This window comes from Homo sapiens, chromosome 18, assembly GCF_000001405.40.
Source record: "Homo sapiens chromosome 18, GRCh38.p14 Primary Assembly".
NCBI classification, from domain to species: domain Eukaryota; kingdom Metazoa; phylum Chordata; class Mammalia; order Primates; family Hominidae; genus Homo; species Homo sapiens.
The window spans coordinates 8,996,934-9,010,192 of record NC_000018.10 but is presented as its reverse complement, the minus strand read 5'-3'; the positions used below and the strand labels follow the sequence as shown (position 1 = coordinate 9,010,192).

Sequence of the window (13,259 nt, the reverse complement as noted above, 5' to 3'; positions counted from 1 at the left end):
GCGCAAGCAGGCACGATTTCGGCCAATCCTAGTTGGTCTGCTGTGGTAGTGGGATGACTTACTGGATATGAAAGATTGGAGGAAAAGACACCAAAATGGTCTTGTCTGACCTCAATACCACCCTATATTTTTATTTTACTGTATGGTTTATAGAATGTTTCACACATATTCTTATTACAGACTTGATTTTTCACATTTAAGTAGCCAACACTACAAAATATTGTCAAGCCTTTTTTTTTTTTTTTTTTTTTTTTTTTGGCTGGGCAGCTTTATTGTAGGCATGCATATTATTTGTAATAAGGTTCATGAATTATTGAAGGGTAGGGGGGTGCAGTGTGGTCTCTTAGAAAAGGCATTGTTTTGGAGTCTGAAGAACCTGGATTTAAAATTTAGCTCTTCAACTTGATAGATGAGTATGAGTGACTTTAATTTATCTAGAAAATGAAGATGTAACCCACATATCTCTTATCCAGGATATGCTTCATAAATGCTAGCTATTGCTGAAAATGGTTTATAATATCCCCATTACTTACTTTTTTTTTTTTAGACAGAGTTTCACTCTTGTTGCCCAGGTTGGAGTGCAATGGCACGATCTCGGCTCACTGCAACCTCTGCCTCCCAGGTTCAAGCGATTCTCCTGCCTTAGCCTCTTGACTAGCTGGGATTACAGGCGTGCGCTATCACACCAGCTAATTTTTTGTATTTTCTTAGTAGAGACAGGGTTTCGCCTTGTTGGTCAGGCTGGTCTTGAACACCTGACCTCAGGTGATCTGCCCACTTTGGTCTCTCAAAGTGCTGGGATTACAGGCATGAGCCACCATGCCCCGCCCCCCGTTACTTCTTTTTAGGACCCAAGGTTGGGGACCATTAGTCTATGTGCAGTCGTGCCTTGTTATCTGTGGGGGACTGGTTCCAGGAACTGTTGGTATAATGCCTACGTGACATAGCTGAATTTCTCCTTTGCTCTAACTCTGCTTATCTTTAAGAAACAGGACACCGGCGATAAAAAGTTCCCTTTGTAACCAGACCAGCTGAGACCAGTTACAAAGCCTACCCCAGGTATCCGACCAGATGACTTCAAAAAGACCTCAGGCTTCATTATAATCTAATTTCCATGCTAAATGACACTTCCACCAGTGTCATGACGGTTGCCAGTCCCCGTGACAATGACCAGAAGGAGCCATAAAAGGACAAAAACAAGGGAGCCCCTCATTCCAAGAAGTGTACCGCCCAGTTCCAGAAAAGACATGGATATTCCTCCTCTTGCTTTTAATGTCCAGCCATCATTAAGGAAACCCTATATGATAACCCCCTCACCCCTCACTAATTGAGAAGTTGATTTGTGAGCCAAGCTCCCGCTTCTCAATTCCATGGCCATCGAATAAAGCCTGCACCACTTGACACTCACTTTCGGTGTTGTGTATTGGTTTCACTGCACCAAACAGGGAAAGACCCCATTTTTGTGGGGGACCAGCTCTGTTGGTAACAGAACCCCCACCGTGAATATCAAAATCTGAGAATCTGAGGATGCTCAAGTCCCTGATATAAAGTAGTATAGCATTTACATGGAACCTATGCACACCTTCCATGCACTTTAAATTATCTTTGGATGACTTATAATACCTAGCATAATGTAAAGGCTTTGTAGAGAGTTGTTGTACTTTATTGTTTAGGCGATAATGATGAGCACAAAACGCCTGCATGTGTTCAGTACAGACACAACCAACAAGTTTTTTTTTTTTTTTAAATACTTTCAGTCTATGGTTGGTGGAATCCACAAATGGGGACCCCACCGGCATGGAGGGCTGACTGTATTTCCTCCTGTACAGACAAGCTACTTCTAGCTGGTGGAGAGGAAATTATTCACTCATAGTGATGTGGTCTAATTTAGTTCTCAAGTTTTTTGACCATGACCTACAATAGGAAATGCATTTACGTTGCTACCCTGTACACACATACTTACCTATAACTGAAAAGAAAAAGTCCTGAAACAGAGTTTTTTTCCATTCTTTTTGTTTGTTTGTTGTTTTTTTTTATTATACTTTAAGTTCTAGGGTACAAGTGCACAATGTGCAGGTTAGTTGCATATGTATACATGTGCCATGCTGGTGTGCTGCACCCATTAACTTGTCATTTACATTAGGTATTTCTCCTAATGCTACCCTTCCCCCTTCCCCCACCCCATGACAGTCCCTGGTGTGTGATGTTCCCCACCCTGTGTCCAAGTGTTCTCATTGTTCAATTCCCACCTATGAGTGAGAACATGGTGGTGTTTGGTTTTCTGTCCTTGCGATAGTTTGCCCAGAATGATGGTTTCCAGCTTCATCCATGTCCCTACAAAGGACATGAACTCATCCTTTTTTATGGCTGCATAGTATTCCATGGTGTATATGTGCCACATTTTCTTAATCCAGTCTATCATTGATGGACATTTGGGTTGGTTCCAAGTCTTTGCTATTGTGAATAGTGCTGCAATAAACGTACGTGTGCATGTGTCTTTATACCAGCATGATTTATAATCCTTTGGGTATATACCCAGTAATGAGATGTCTGGGTCAAATGGTATTTCTAGTTCTAGATCCTTGAGGAATCGCCACACTGTCTTCCACAATGGTTGAACTAGTTTATAGTCCCACGAACAGTGTAAAAGCATTTCTGGCCAGGCACGGTGGCTCACGCCTGTAATTCCAGCACTTTGGGAGGCCAAGGCGGGCAGATCACGAGGTCAGGAGATCGAGACCGTCCTGGCTAACACAGTGAAACCCTGTCTCTACTAAAAATACAAAAAATTAGCCAGATGTGGTTGCAGGTGCCTGTAGTCCCAGCTACTGAGAAGGCTGAGGCAGGAGAATGGCTTGAACCTGGGAGCCGGAGCTTGCAGTGAGCCAAGATCTGCACCACTGCGCTCCAGCCTGGGCGACAGAGTGAGACTCCATCTCAAAAAAAAAAAAAAAAAAAAAAAAAAAAAAAGCGTTGCTATTTCTCCACATCCTCTCCAGCACCTGTTGTTTCCTGACTTTTTAATGATCGCCATTCTAACAGGTGTGAGATGGTATCTCATTGTGGTTTTGATTTGCATTTCTCTGATGGCCAGTGATGATGAGCATTTTTTCATGTGTCTTTTGGCTGCATAAATGTCTTCTTTTGAGAAGTGTCTATTCATATCATTTGCCCACTTTTTGACGGGGTTGTTTGATTTTTTCTTGTAAATTTGTTTAAGTTCTTTGTAGATTCTGGCTGGATATTAGCCCTTTGTCAGATGGGTAGATTGTAAAAATTTTCTCCCATTCTGTAGGTTGCCTGTTCACTCTGATAATAGTTTCTTTTGTGGTGCAGAAGCTCTTTTTTTTTTTTTTTCCATTCTATTTAATGAAAAATGGCTGGTCAAGACTCACTAAATTAATTTCATGACCTACTAGTGGATCTCAGTCTACAGCTTGAAAAATACCTGGTCTAAGCCAGGTGCAGTGGTGTGTGCCTGTAATCCCAGCTGCTACTGGGAGGCTAAGGTGGGAGGATTGCTTGAACCCAGGAGTTTGAGGCTATAGTGCACCATAATCACTCCTGTGAGTAGCCACTGCACTCTAGCCTGGGCAACACAGTGAGAACCCATCTCTGAAAATAAATAATTAATAAATAAAAATTTTAAATAAATTAAACTGAAAACAAAAAGAAACAAAAAACCCACTGATCTAAATAGCCTTGTTCTGTAAATATGTGTGGTGTATATGGATTTAGTTCCATCACAACTTTCAGACCAAGAGTTAATGAGTTATTTCATTTTTAAAAATCAAAGTAAATTAACCCCCAAGTGCCCACTCTCTAGAGATTATTTAAAAAAATATTGGTCAGCATTGTGGTTCTTTCCTGTCACCTTCTTGGGGTCCTGCACCAGTCACAGGGTCTCATGCAACCTGGAATTTTGGGGATGGCCTTTAGTTCTTGGATCTGATTTCTTTTCTTTTTAAGAGACAGGGCCTCCCTCTGTTGCCCATGCTGGAGTGCAGTGGCATGGTCATAGCCCACTGCAGCCTTGAACTCCTGGGTTCAAACAGTCCTCCCACTTCAGCCTCCTGAGCAGCTGGGACTCCATGCCATCATGCCTGGTTAATTTTTAGATTCTGTTGTAGAGACGGGGGTCTCACTATGTTGTCCAGGCTGGTCTTGAGCTCCTGCCCTCAAGCAATCCTCCTGCCTCAGCCTCCCAAAGCTCTAGGATTATAGGTGTGTGCCTGGATGGATCTGGTTTATTGTGGGTTTTAAGAGATAGAGGACAACACTACTCCCATAACAAGCTGGCCCAGACAGGCTTGCTGAGGTGGGACCCAGACCCAGGACACAGCCCCCTAGGTGTAGCATGCAGGCCAGTCCCTGAGATACTGCCCCCACATGGGGTCTGCAGTGCAGCAGGTCCCTCCTTTCCTGGGATTCACTCCTTACTCCCTTCCAGAAATAGGAGAATTTTCTTCTAAGCTACTCTTATTTGCCAAGCAAGTGTGAGAGCATCTTCCCTATCCGGACTATGACTCACTGCTTCTTATCTCTGTCCTGCAGCCCTGGAAGCCCCAGGTCTCCTGGGATCCAATCCTTATATGCCTTGAATGCCCATAGCCAGGGAATAGATGGTTCATGGGCCCATTGTTCCACCTGAATGTGCCATGGAAAGCACAGTCAGCACCCCTGGCTGCTCTCCATAACCAGAGTGGAGAAAAAGGGATCACTGGCGGGCATGGTGGCTCATGCCTGTAATCCCAGCACTTTGGGAGGCTGAGGCAGGCGGATCACTTGAGGTCAGGAGTTCGAGACAAGCCTGGACAACATGGTGAAACCCTGTCTCTATTAAGAAAAATTACAAAAATTAGCCAGGCATGGTGGTGCGTGCCTGTAATCCCAGCTACTCTAGAGACTGAGGCAGGAGAATTGCTTGAATCCAGGAGGTGGAAATTGCAGTGAGCCAAGATGGTGCCACTGCACTCCAGCCTGGGTGACAGAGTGAGACTCTGTCTCAAAAAAAAGAGATCACTGAATGGAGTCACATTCGACCTCACTGCAGAGAACATGCAAATTTTCCTCCATCCATGTGGAATTAACTATGTTTAGTTTTGATCTCATGTGCTTGACAAAAAGCAAAAAGCAATGCTGCTTTCTAAGGCGTGAGCTTAAGGAGTAAATAGATGTAGTGATTTTTCCCCCATCTCTGTATTTATATTTTTAAGGGAGTTGAGAATGAAAAAATTTTCCTTCAACCCTTTCCTCTGTTCTCCAGATCTCTCTTGCCCACTGCTTATACCTAAGAGGCCCATTCTGGAGGTGTGCACGGGAGCATGATGGCAGTACCACCTTCCCCAGAATCCACAAGGGGTTTTGGGATGCATAGACCAATATACAAAATATGTACTCATGTGAGAATTGGGAGCTTACTGATTGGCCACCAGGTTGCCCTAGGCCTAAGCTACAGATAACGTAAAATCAAGATAGACTTGGATGGTGAAAATGGTGACAATGAAGTGTTTAGCTTTCTATGCCTTCTGTACTTTATATTTATAGTTTATAAAGTGGGAATTTCTTGCCCTAATTCTTCTTTTTTTCTTTCTTTCTCTCTGTTTTTTTTTTTTTTTTTTTTTTTTTTTTGAGAAAGAATCTTGCTCTGTTGCCCAGGCTGGAGTGCAGTGGCGTAAGCTTGGCTCACTGCAACCTCTGCCTCTTGGGTTCAAGTGATTCTCCTGCCTCAGCCTCCAGAGTAGTTGGAATTACAGGCATGTGCCACCATGCCTGTCTAATTTTTGTAGTTTTAATAGAGATGGTGGTCTCACCATGTTGGCCAGGCTGGTCTTGAACTCCTGACCTCAAGTGATCCACCCGCCTTGGCCCAGAGTGCTGGGATTATAGGCATGAGCTTCTCTTTTCTTTATATGAATTCTATTATTGCAATCATTTATGCCTTTATCTAAATTAATATACCGGGAAAATTCTACTAAAGTTATGTTCTTTTATGCTTTTATAATGATGCCTTGTGTATATCTTTATTGATGTAATTATAATACAATTGTGTTAAATCTATCAATCAATGAGCGGGTATGTGCCAACTTAATTTCATAATCAAATTGCTTAAAACCAATAATAATAACAATAAATCTTATAAGCAGAGAGAGGTAAAAGGCATATTACATACATAATAATAAAGACAATAATGACAGGCAACTAGTTTTTCATCCGTAAAAACTACAAGCCAGAGTTGGAGCACCATCTAACGGATTTTGTAAATGGAATTTGAGAGTCTCTGTATTTTAGTAGACAAATATAATCCATTTACATTTATATTGCTTACTGATATGTTGAGTTTTTTTGCTATCATTTATTCTGGGTTTCTCATTTACCATGTTTCCCCACAACCCCTCCCTGACTTTCATTGACTTGATTGGGTTTTTCATTATTTTCCTTTACCTACCTGTATTAGTCTGTTCTCACACTGCTAATAAAGACATACCTGAGTCTGGGTTATTTATAAAGGAAAGAGGTTTAATGGACTCACAGTTCCACATGGCTTCTGGAGGACCTCACAATCATGGCAGAAGACCAAGGTAGAGCAAAGGGATGTTTTACACGGTGGCAGGCAAAGAGAGCTTGTGCAGGGGAACTCCCCTTTATAAAACCATCAGATCTCCTGAGACTTATTCACTACCATGAGAACAGCATGGGAAAGACCCGCCCCCATGATCCAGTTACCTCCCACTTGGTCCTTCCCATGACACAGGAATTATGGCAACTACAATTCACGATGAGATTTGGTTGAGGACACAGCCAAACCATATCACTGCCCACATTATCAAATTAACAAATTATCTATTTGATGTTCTCAATTTTTAACACAGATATTTACTTAGATTTTAAGGTCACTTAATATTTCCGTTCTTCACCTTAACAATAGAAAGACCTTAGAATTCTTCAAAATCGACCTTCTATCTCCTGTGTTATCATTTTCTGGTACTTTAATTCTTGTTTTTACCCCTGACCGTCACCTCATTTTTCAGTACTATTATTATTTATAGCAAACACTCATTTAGATTTACCAGTGTATTTACCACATGCTTCTTGTATACCACTCAAATTAATTCTTCCTATAGTATATTTTAAATCAGTTGTTTCAGGTAAGTCGGAATAGTAAACTTGCTTGTCTGAAAACACTTTTATTTTGCTTTCACTCTTGAATGACAGTGTAATTGGGTCTAGAATTCTAGAGAGACAGTTATTGTTTTTCTCAGAACTTTGAAATATTATTTCACTGTTGTTTGATTTCTGTTGTTGAAAAGTCTTCTCTAGTATAATTGCCATTCTTTGAAAAATAACCTGGTAGTTTTTAAGGCTTTTTTTTGTTTGTTTTTGTTGATTTGCTCTTTCATTACAATGTGTTTAGATGTGATTTTGTTTTTATTTTTCTTGCTCAGGTCCTGATAGGTTTCTTTAATCTGAAGACAATTTCCTTCTCCCATTCAGGAAAATTTTCAGGCTTTACATTTATCTCCCTCGCGCTCTCTTTTTTTTCCCTCAACCTCCTGGGCTCAAGTGATCCTCCTACCTCAGCCACTCTAGTAGCTGGTTCTACAAGCACGTGTCACCATGCCTGGCTAATTTAAAAAAAAATTTTAGTAAAGGTAAAGTCTTGCTGTGTTGTCCAGACTGTTCTCAAACTCCCAGTCTCAAACAGTCCTCCTGCCTTGGCCTTCAAAGTGTGGGATTATAGGCATGAGATGCCGCACCCAGCCAAGCCTGTACATATAAAACCCTTCCTTGCCCCTTCTAGGTTCTTCTGGTGTTTCCTTTTGTAATTGTTAATATCCATATTTTGGTATTTCTCATTCTATCTTTCATGTATCTTTGCCTTTCTTTGGTATTTTCATCTAGATGCTACAGACTCTTTTTTAGATTTGTATTTCAATTCACTAAGTTTCTATTCAGCTGGGTCTAGTATACTGTTTTCCCATTCATTGCATTTTTAATTTCAGTAACTGTATTTTTTATTTTCACAATTTATATTCAATTTTCTTTAAAAAACATATTCCTTTCTCATATTACTCTGTACTTATAATTTCTATACCTTCTTTCATGTCTAAATATTTTAAAGAAACATTTTATAATATGTTTTAGCTTATTCTATTACCTGTAGTTTTGGGGAGTGCAAATTTCCCTGTTCATTATTCCTTGTGACTTTCCCTTTCTTCGTGAAGTCTAGAAATTTTTCTTGTGAATTTACCTTCAGTGAGGGTACCTAGGCTGCCATGTATTCTAGGATGTCTTAGTTTGCTAGGGCTGTTATAACAAAATACCATGGAATGGTGGCTTAAGCAAAAGACATTTCTTTTCCTTTTTTTGGAAGAGTCTCACTTTGTCACCCAGGCTGAGTGCAGTGGCGTGATCATAGCTCACTGCAACCTCGAACTCCAGGGCTCAAGTGATTTTCCCACCTCAGCCTACCCAGTAGCTGAAACTACAGGCACACACCACCCCACCTAGCTAATTATTTGTATTTTTAGTAGAGACGGGGTTTCGCCATGTTGTCCAGGCTGGTCTGGAACTCCTGAGCTCAAGTGATCTGCCTGCCTTGTCCTCCCAAAGTGCTGGGATTACAGGTGTAATTATAATTAATAAAAGACGTTTATTTTCTCACAGTTATGGAGGATTGGAAGCCCAAGATCAAGGTGCTTGGTTGCTTTCTCCTGAGGCCTCTGTCCTTGGCTTGCAGAGGGCTGCCTTTTTGCTACGTGTTTACATGGCTTTTCTTCTGTGTGCGTACATCCCTGGTATTTCTTCCCTTATAAGGACACCAGTCATTATGATCTCATTTAACCTGAATTTCCTTCATAAAAGCCCTGCCTCTAAATACAGTCATCTTGGGGGTTAAGGCTTCAACATATGAAGTTTGAGGGGACACAAATCAGTTCATAACAGGGGTAAAGAAATATCTCTATAGGACAGTTTTGCATGTGCCTCTGCTGTGTTTCTAGTGGTTTCACCCATTCCAGAAGAATTTTATATTAATTTCTGATCTTGGGGGTTTTCTCACCATACCCAACTTATAAATTCAGATCTCACACCTCCATTTTGATTTATGGCGGGTGGCTCTTTTTTCCAGGGACCAGAGTAGACAGCAATCTTCTCGTTCTTCCTCAGGCAAGTGGGAAGAGTTTTTCAACTCATAGGTTCATGAAAGGAATGGAATCTGAGACTCAACGTTATGCAAGAGCCTCCCTTCCCATGGCCCTGAGCCTAACTCTCCTGTCTCAGTCCACGTGTTAAAACTCCAACTCCCAGCCAGTAAGACCTTCATCTGGGGATGGTCCCCTGTGGGCCATGCTGCTGCAGCTCTTAATTGCCTCTCTGGCTTTGCTCTCTTTTTTATTTTGGATCCGTTTCCTAAAACTTGTAAGCTGGGCTCTGCATTTCAATCTATTTTTAGGGGGTTCTATTTTATCTTGAATGTTTATGTGTTTAGAGAAAGATGGTGTGAGAGGGCAGTAAATCTCTTTCATGTCTATATAATTCACTATATTAACCAAAATTCATGCTGGAAAGCTTGTCTGTCTTCAGTGGTCCCAGGCAGCGGCGGACAGCAGTCTTTCAGTGTCAAAGCTCATGTCCTCTATGGGACATCCCACTATTTTCCTGCTTCCTGAGAGACATCTTTAAATCTTAGTTTATACAGCAGAAATTATTGCTGGATGCACAATTAGGTTCTTCATGGCTATAATGTTACTTTCTATCCCCTAGTCCTCCTTGGAGGATTTATCAGGTTCTTTTCTGCTCTTGCCTTCCCTGGATAAATGTTTTTTTTTTTTTTTTACATCAATTATCTTAAAACGACAAACTCAACAAAAATAACTGGCACCAGGGGAAAAAATTTTGTTTTCTCTATGGCCATTAAAATGTGGCTGGTCATGTTCCTGGGGAAAAAAAGCGTGAAAAAGACACCAAAACCTGGGCGTCCTGCCTGAGATGTTTTTGTAGGTCAGAGTCCTGAAATCTTTAGGTTAAGCATAGCTCCAGTGGGCACGGCAACAGTCACTGCTAGCAAGACTCCTCAAGCTCACATTTCCTTTCTTTTCCACTAGATTCTCAGGGAGGCCTCCCGGGAGCTCTATGCTGACAGCACCAATGAGCTGATCGTGATGGAAAAGCAGCCCCCGATGGGGTTCGCATAATAGAGACTTCACAATGCATAAAGCAATAACAATAATTACAAAATGGGGGAAAATGCAAAGAGCTAATGGATTTTTGAGCTCTATTTTTTTTTTTTTCCTTGAGACGGAGTTTCGCTCTTGTTGCCCAGGCTGGAGTGCAATGGCGCGATCTTGGCTCACGGCAACCTCCGCCCCCCGGGTTCAAGCGATTCTCCTGCCTCAGCCTCCCGAGTAGCTGGGACTTATAGGCATGCACCACCATGCCCGGCTAATTTTATATTTTTAGTAGAGATGAGGTTTCGCCATGTTGGCCAGGCTACTCTCAAACTCCTGACCTCAAGTGATCCACCTGCCTCGGCTTCCCAAAGTGCTGGGACTACAGGCATGAGTCACCGCATCTGGCCTCTCTATTTTCAACAATACAGGTAGAATTATGTTTTTAGAAATTTGATTCTGTGCAATTTAAAGGTCTCCTGCTGATTTCAACATTTGGGGTTTCCTGTAGTTGTTCTGTCTAATCAATTCCTTCTGAAGAAAAAAAATAAAAGATGACATTTCCCCCTCTGCAAATTACTTAACCTGGAAAGGTTTCCCTTAGAAGCTAAGAAATGTTCTATTACTTAATTACTTACCATGACAAACATCCTTTCCTTCAAATGGAAATCTATTGGACAATAACTGCTTTAAAGGCATCCTAATCGTAGCTAAAAGTGACAAAAATGCTGCAGATGAACTTAAATATGAACATAGACTGTGCTTTTATGACATTCTGGATGCTTAAGTTTTATTCTTAGGTCAGCTGTTTGCACAAAAGAACTGGAGAGAGTGAGTGTTCCCCATTGTCCTGAATCTCTAAATTGACCTGTGCTGTTCCACCACCCTGCCACAGAATGACGATAAGATTAATGAGTGCTTTTGATGACAAGGATAGATGGCAAAAGTCCTAGCTCTATCTCAGATCTCCTGTGTTACCTTACTTACCCTCTCCAAGTTTATTTGCTTGTCTGTAAAGAGTCTGACAAAAAAATATGAGGCAACCACATTCCAATCCAAAGCGCTAATGGTAGAAAAAAAAAAATCAGCACCAAACAAGATTAAAGAGGCAGAATTCACTGGGGGCTGAAAGCACCCAACGTCAACAGAGGCAGAGGAGCCATCCCAGTGGATTAGTGGCTGTGAGGTTTAGGGGGCTAGTCACTAATCCGGGATTCTAGAAACTAGGGCTGCAACTAAAAGATAATACATGTTTTGCTCTATACTAGTTAAAATGCTTTTAAGCAGCACAAATATAGAGGCATCTGCAAAATGAGGGCATCCAACCATCTGTTACCATTCCTGATCACCTGAACACAACCTTCCTCTCAGCTCCCTTGAAGCTAGGCAGTCCTGCAGGCTGCAAAAAGAGGAAAGGCTGGGGGAAAGAAGAGATCAAAGAAGAGATGGTTTCTAGAGTGGTCTGGATACATTTGTGCACATACAATAAATATTTTTGGTAACTTCTGTATGAGACAAATTAATACTGTGCTTCATTTTCCTGGAAGAAGGAGGACAAATATGGTATTGGTCTGGATATACTTTATCTACCTTTACCCAAATGTCACTTACTCCTTTATTGATCTACTCATCTATCCATTCAATCAATATTTATTGAACACATTATATGCCATGTTCCATTCTAGGTGCTGGGGAGGCAGATACAGATGTAAAAGATACTCAAATAAAATGCTGTGAAGAAAAAAAAACAAGATAAAGGGGATAGTAAGTGACAGGGGAGATATCGCAGGGTAAGGAAGTGATTTTATTTGAAGAAATGTAATATAGATAATGGATTTGCATAGTAGCTGATAGGGAAAGACTTTGTGTTTTTAAATAACACTCAACTTTTTGTGTTTTTATTCCAATAATCATTCTATAAAAGAACCAGTTTCCCCTATGAAAAAACATAATAAATTATTTTTAAGAGTAATACATTTATGTGTAGAGGTATATAGATATTATATCAATTACAAGTTGAGGAATTAATTTCCAGGATGTCACAGGTTAAGTATTCTAGAAAAAGATGCTAGGTTGAAATTTGATGGGCACCGTGTTTGTTAGAGATCGACACCTATGGAAAGGAGACGAAGGAAGCAGGGTTTCTTTAGGGGAGTGGTCGAACTACAATGCAGCTCAGCAATGCTACCCTGTGGAGAGCTCGGGAGTGTCAATGGCTTGCCAGAGCAGGACCATGGTGGGCTGAAATGGCTGGACCTTTATACCCTACAACAATTGATCAATGGATATGGGTCACAGGAAGAGCATACTCTTGGGCAAGGCAGCTCTCTGCAACTGAGGCAAGAGACAGCTGCCACAAATCTTCCTTGAAAGGGTTGCAGGCAGTACATCTTCATGTCCCCCACATAAGGATATCTATGTGGCAAGCTAGGAGAAATACTTGCAACATAGTAACAGGTAGATATAAGATGTTAAAAGCCAAATAGACCTTAGGAATCAAGGAATGAAAAAAATTAACACTACAATTTAATATATATATATACACACACACACAGCATTTGATTGAGAGTCACAAAACAGATAATAAATATATGAAAAACGTTCAACCTCATTGAACTTTAAAACTATATAAATCAGAGTAATAAGATACCATTTTCTATCAGAAAGAATAAAGAATATCAGAAAGAATAAATTAAAAATGTAGCACTTAACAAGAGGAAGGACTGAGAACATGAGCACTCTTATGCAACTCTTCGTGGGAGTGTAAATTGGCATAACATTTCAGGAAGGCAATTTTGCAATCTGTATGAAAAGTCTTAAACTACACATGCCTGATAAGCCAGCTGTATTAGTTATCTATTACTGTGTAACAAATTAACCAAAGCTTAATTGCTTAAAACATAAGCATGTATTATTTCACAGTTTCTGTGGAATTTGAGAATAGCTTAGCTGGGTTGTCCTAGCTGAGGGTTTCTCATGAGGTTGCAGTTGAGCAGTCAGCTGGGGCTGCAGTCATCTGAAGGCTTGACAGGGGCAGGAGATCTACTTCATGATGGTGCACTCATGGCTATTAGCAAAGGGCCTCAGTTC

At 40.9% G+C, this 13,259-nt stretch overlaps 1 annotated feature.

Annotated features, from left to right (window-relative positions):
- Window positions 12,139–12,640: an enhancer, noted in NCBI's record as "NANOG hESC enhancer chr18:8997551-8998052 (GRCh37/hg19 assembly coordinates)". NCBI's record gives its function as "activates a minimal SCP1, AML or CMV promoter by ChIP-STARR-seq in primed H9 embryonic stem cells {active_cell/tissue: H9 hESC(primed)}" and the evidence as "EXISTENCE:reporter gene assay evidence [ECO:0000049][PMID:30033119]".